Genomic DNA, 6,000 nt, shown 5'->3' with positions numbered 1-6,000 from the left:
TTATATTAGTTTGGTGCAAAAGTAATTGCCAGTTTTGCCATTACTTTTAACGGCAAAAAACCCCAATTACTTTTGCACAAACCTAATACACATCACACGCGCACACACAGCCTCATGGCAGGGTCTACTTCTAGGGAACCTGACCCAAGCAGCATGGACTCAGGCTGGGCCAGTAAGGGAGTGTCTTTCCCTGAGATGTTCATACTTGGAGCTGGGAGGTAGCAAGCTTATCAGGATATGAGTCTGAAGCTGCTGGTGGCTTGAGAGAATGAAGCTGACCCACAGAAGAAGCAGAAACAACACTGATGCTATTGTAGTCTCTGCCTCCAGCTGCCTTTGAGGCTATCCCCACTCCTACCTTCTGAAGATGTGGCTGAGATAGTTAAGTTAGGTTCCTGTCATTTGCATCCAAGAAAACCGTAACTAAAGGGGTCAAGACTAAAGAGTTCTCAAATCCTAAAGACCCTTTTCGTGGAGAAAAGCACAGTTATACATAACTTTGTATGCAATTGCAGGGGTACACAGTCCCATTCCTTATAGTTTAGCTCAACTATATTAGCATCTTACATACACTTACAATTTTATAAGCATTAAATACTTCTGGGTTGCCCATGACTTTTCCTGACAACAGAGTTTGCCTTGCTAATCTCTTAGACGTTTTTGAGAAAAACAATAAACAGGACTTCTGTTTGGGTTTTTTCCCCAAGTAAACACAGTCACCATCACAGAAATCACAACTGATCAAGTCAATAAATAAGGAAGTTAAAAAAAAAAAGTATGTGCAAGCAGAGTACATATTCAAAACTGTGCAAATGGCCAAAATGGCCGGGCACAGTGGCTCACGCCTGTAATCCCAGCACTTTGGGAGGCCGAGGTGGGCAGATCACTTGAGGTCAGGAGTTTGAGACCAGCCTGCCCAACATGGTGAAATGCCGTCTCTACTAAAAGTACAAAATTTAGTTGGGTGTGGTGGCGCATGCCTGTAATCCCAGCTACTCGGGAGGCTGAGGCAGGGGAATTGCTTGAACCCGGGAGGTGGAGGTTGCAGTGAGCAGAGATGGCGCCATTGCACTCCAGCCTGGGGAACAAGAGCAAAACTCCATCTAAAAAAAAAAAAAAAAAAGCAAATATTCACATGAATAGAAAACGTAGGAGGCAGGAAAGATGTATCACTGGACCATTGGACTATCATCTCACATTCTTTTTTTTTTAATTATTTTTTGTAGAAACGGGGTCTCACTATGTTTACCAGGCTGGTCATGACCTCCTGGCCTCAAACGATCCTCCCACCTCAGCCTCCCAGAATGCTGGGATTACAAGCATGAGCCACTGTGTCTGGCCTATCATCTCACACTGAGCAACGTGGAAGTGACTGTAGTACATCTTTGATTGGGAAAAAATATTTACACTATTGTAAGATCAATAGAACTATGACTTAAATCCGACAATTCCCCTAGAGTTTATGAATTTTGTCATTTTTTCATGTGTCCAAGTGAAAAAACAACAATTCTCTCAGCATAGTTGGGAAAGCTCCTGTCTTCTCCCTGCCCTGCCCCCTTCAGCACCCTGACCCCACCCCCCACACAATACATTATGTCAGAAAGATTAAATGGCTTAACACCATCAGGCCCAAAATGACAGAGTCATGTTCAGGGCCTACATTTCTTTTTTTCTTCCTTTCATTTTTAGAGATGGGGTCTTGCTTTGTTGCCCAGGCTGGAGTACAGTGGCACAATCATAGCTCACTACCACCTGGAACTCCTGGGCTCAAGCGATCCTCCTGCCTTGGCCTCCCAAAGTGCTGGGATTACAAGCATGAGCTGCTGCACCCGGCCCCACATTTCTGAGTGCTAGTTCACTTCTCAGATGCACCTCACATTGTTTTCCCTGAGCCTTCTGAAGCTCCCCTTCAACCATCAAGAAACCCTCATGGTGCTGAGCATGGCAGCTCATACCTATAATTCCAGCACTCTGGGAGGCTGAGGCAGGAGAATCTCTTGAGGGCAGGAGTTTGAGACCAGCCTAGGTAACATAGCGAGAGCCTGTCTCTACAAAAAATAAAAAAATTAGCTGGGTGAGGCAGCACGTGCCTATCATCCCAGCTACTCCAAAGGCTGAGATGGGAGGATTGCTTGAGTCCAGGAGTTTGAGCCTGCAGTGAGCCATGATTGTACCACTGCACTCCAGCCTGGGCAACAGAGTAAGACCCTGTCTCGAAACAAAACGAAAAAAAACCAACTATGGGTTTGGGTTTCAGACCAGCCTGAAGCTAAGCCTGCTCACGGTGCTCTCGGGACATTTGCCTTCATCTCGCTGCATCTAGAGCAAACAGGAAGGTGTTAGGAGAGGCAGGAAGGCGGGGTTTCCATCAGCATCAGGCAGGAGGGGACAAAGGAGTTTTTCATGCCTGGCAGAATCCTCACTCTAAGATGGTAGGAATGTACAGTTACAGCTATATATCCCTTTGGGAAACTTTTTGGGAAGTAGGAAGATCTACCTCCATCTGACTGTGGTATTTTCTGCTTTATGAAAAGCAGAGATATGTGCTTTTCATGTAGCTTTATGAATGTAATCTTCTATCCTGTGACAGAAAAAGAAAGAGAAAGGAAGAAAGAGGGAGAAAGAAGGAAGGAAAGAAAGAAGAAAATGAAGGAAAGAAAGAAGAAAAGGAAGGAATGAAGAAAGGAAGGAAGAAGGAAGAAGGGAGGGAAGGAGGGAGGAAGGAATGTAGGAAGGAAGGAAGGGAGGAGAACTTGATATTTGATAACTGTGTTTGTGAGCATCTTTCTGGTCATCCTATCATCTTCTCATTTTGACAGGCACATGTCAAACTTCAGTGCTGCCTGATCTCTTTCCCTTCACTGAGACTTGATTTTATCTGGTGACAGTTTTCCTTTTAACCAGTTATCAGGAGTAGGCGGCTTGTATTCCCTTTCCCCTTTAAAATTCATACCTTTAAACTTCATAGTCACACATGTTGCTACATAACATATTACCACAGACTTAGCCACTTAAAACAACCCTCCTTTATGAGCTCACAGGGATGTGGTCCACAGGCTAGGAGAGGGCTGGGTCCTTAGGGTCTCACAGGGTCAAAATGGAGGCAGATGCTGGATGGCGCGCTTATCTGGACGTCCTTGAGAAGAAGAATCAGCTTTCGACCTCCTTCAGGCTGTTGACAGAATTCAGATCCTGTGGCTGGTGAGGACGGAGGACCCCTTCCTTGCTGGCTGTCAGGTGGGAGTGACTCTCAGCTCTAGGGGCTTCTCTGTTCCTTGCATGAGGACCCCTATATCCTCAAAGCCAGTAATAGGCGTGAATCCCCTCACGCTTTGAATTTCTCTGACTTCCTCTTCTGCTACTTTCTAGAGAAAATTCTCTGCTTTAAAGGGCTTGCCTGCTGGGCTAGGCCCACCAGTATGATCTTCATGCAGGGTGGCTGACTCGGGAGTTTAGTGACAACTGCAAAACTCTTTCATAGCTGTGCCTAGCTTAGCATTTGCATAAGTAAGGCACAGGACTCTGCATGAAGGGGTCATCTTTAGAATTCTGCGCACCACAGCTACCAACCTGGAAGCACTTTAGTCCCCTCTGGGGGTCCCGGATGAATGTGGAGGTCTCCATGTTCCAGAGATGGTAAGAGTATGTTCTGCCAGGGTGGCTTCCGCTTCTGGGGTTACTTGCTGCGTATGGCTTGGATTTTGTCTGCTAGGCCTCTCTGTCCTCTTATTCTTTTGTCTTCCTTGGGTGGGAGGTTTAGAGATTCCGCCTACATTTTTCCGAGGCTAAAAATTCTTTTTAAAAGTATGTTTGTTGAAATGTATACAGGAGCTAGTTATATTGGACTAGGAGGGCATTTTGGAGTATATAATCCCATATAATAATAGATTCAATGTCCACAGATTCTTTATTAATCAAATGAATCTCTCTCCCTCCCCGTGTGTGTGTGCATGCGTGCGTGCATGCGTGTGTGTGTTTATTTACTAGTGATATGGTATGGTTACTAAGCAATCAGAAGGGACACCAACTATGAGTGACACACACAGCTAAATAACAGCCCTGCTCTGCTCCAGTATATAGGAGGCACTGTATTAAGTGCTATGGGAGACACCAAGATGAATAGAAAAAAAAGCGGTCTGACATAAAAATCTTATGAGAAGCTAGACATGGCGGCTCATTCCTATAATCCCAGCACTTTGGGAGGCTGAGGTAGGAGGATCACTTGATGCCAGGAGTTTCAGGCTGCAGTGAGCCGTGATCGCACCACTGCACTCTAGCCTGGGTGACAGAGTGAGACCCTGTCTCAAAAAATAAATAAATAAATAAATAAATCTTGTGAGGAAGATGAAGTATGTGTATAAAGGGTAAAGAGAGATGAAAATATTCATAAACTGTTCTTTGAGGCGAGAGGGGAGAAGGATTATTTCTAGCTCAGGAGTCCAGAAGATTCCATGGGCTTCCTGCTCATGAGGAGAAGCCTGCAGACCAGGCACTCAGGACTTACACATCTCAGCTAGGGAAAAGCTGTTTCTCAAGGTTTCTCTAGAATATGCACATGAATGTACTGCAGAATATAAAAGGCCCTTTGATGTCCAACACAGGAATAACTCTGTTTTCTGAGTTAGACCTAATTTTGAATATTTAAAAAATAAATCATGACATCATGATGTCATCAATTTCATGACGTCAGGAGACTCAGAGACTAGTGAACAGATTATCTATTGCTATTTTGTTCTCCATCCAAAGTAATATTATAGAATGTTCAGATGTTATCTTACTGGCCTTCCATCTGCTCACAAGATTTCCTTGTTTCAGGTTTCTCATCTTTTGATGAGCAATCTTGAAACTGGATTCTGTTTCAACAACTGTGCTTATGCTTTAAAGGGGAAGACATGCTGACCCTTCTGGTGGCACCTTTCAGGGTGCAGAGGATTGCTGTGGTGCTAGCTTTGATGGATTGTTTGCAAAAGTGGCTGCAATTATTCAGCTCCCTCTGCAGTGGTGGAGTCTGTGTCCACTCCGCTTGACTCTCAGCTGATCCTGTGGCCTGCTTAGACCAAGAGACTGCAAAAGAAGTGACTGTCTGTGCTGAGCCCTCATCTCTAGAGACAATGCACGCTTCCACCTGCCCCTTTCAAACTCTGCTGAGCTGCCTTGTGAACAAACAGCCCAGGCTCCTCATCCAGCCCAATCCAGAGGCAGAGCAGATGGCAGTTGCTTGAGGGAAGGCATCTGAGGTCAGCAGAACTAGAGATTCACCAGAAGGAACTTATGGCTGTTATTTTAAGACACTAAGTTTTGGGTTGCTTTGCTAATATGCTCATAGTTCCATTTCTCTTCGGAGACAGGTCAAACGGATAAGTCCCACCCTGTTCTTGGGAGCAACATTAAACAGTAGTCTGGGACAAAGGTTTCTCACAGAAACTTCACGAGCATGATAGACTCCATATGTTTCAATAACAGGCAAAGTATCTTTCTGTGAAAGTCACACTCAGATTTTGTGTAATTTACTGAAGAACTCCAGTTAAAAGCCACAATATTTTATTTCCATCTTTTTCCTAAGAGTGGAAAAAAACCATTAAATGTGTGATACATTTTAGGGGCTTCAGACTTAAAGGAGAATTTAATTGAGGGTCTTCAGGACCTCTGATCTTTCAAAATCCTCTAGTGGTGCCATTCACACAGCATTGGCCAAATTTTGGGGGTCGTGTCTGAAATGTTTGGATAACAAAAAAGTCTTTTTAGGTTAAAAATTATTTTACTTGATTTCTTTTCTTAAGTAATATTTACAGGGTACTTTATCTTTTTTACTTTATCTCTTACAGAACATTTAAACCTTATAACTTTAAGATGTAGGTATTATCCCCCAAACCCTCCCCCACAAAACACACATGATACATGAAAAAAACTGAGGCTCAGAGAGATGAAGTCACTTCCCATAATGGAAGAGGCAGGGCATGTTCTTATTACCATCTGACACCAAAACTCATCCTTTTTCCG

At 44.0% G+C, this 6,000-nt stretch overlaps 1 long non-coding RNA gene and 1 other non-coding gene across 2 annotated transcripts in view, besides 2 other annotated features; one reads left to right on the top strand and one right to left on the bottom strand.

Annotated features, from left to right (window-relative positions):
- Positions 1 to 97, bottom strand: MIR548A2 (microRNA 548a-2). The gene has a single exon (NR_030317.1). It is a non-coding gene; the product is annotated as a microRNA 548a-2 (primary transcript).
- Positions 98 to 3,061: 2,964 nt separating this feature from the next.
- LOC105378011 (uncharacterized) overlaps positions 3,062 to 6,000 on the top strand; it is a 40,301-nt gene continuing 37,362 nt past the window's right edge. The window contains exon 1 of the long non-coding RNA XR_001744368.2: positions 3,062 to 3,237. This is a non-coding gene — a long non-coding RNA (uncharacterized LOC105378011). The remainder of the gene's footprint in view (positions 3,238 to 6,000) is intronic.
- Positions 4,945 to 5,014: an enhancer, noted in NCBI's record as "active region_25104". NCBI's record gives its function as "activates an Ori minimal core promoter by ATAC-STARR-seq in GM12878 lymphoblastoid cells {active_cell/tissue: GM12878}" and the evidence as "EXISTENCE:reporter gene assay evidence [ECO:0000049][PMID:35858748]".
- Positions 5,025 to 5,184: an enhancer, noted in NCBI's record as "active region_25103". NCBI's record gives its function as "activates an Ori minimal core promoter by ATAC-STARR-seq in GM12878 lymphoblastoid cells {active_cell/tissue: GM12878}" and the evidence as "EXISTENCE:reporter gene assay evidence [ECO:0000049][PMID:35858748]".

This window comes from Homo sapiens, chromosome 6 (genome assembly GCF_000001405.40).
Source record: "Homo sapiens chromosome 6, GRCh38.p14 Primary Assembly".
NCBI lineage: Eukaryota > Metazoa > Chordata > Mammalia > Primates > Hominidae > Homo > Homo sapiens.
Note: the sequence above shows the minus strand (reverse complement) of the source record. Positions and strands in the feature narration are given on the sequence as shown.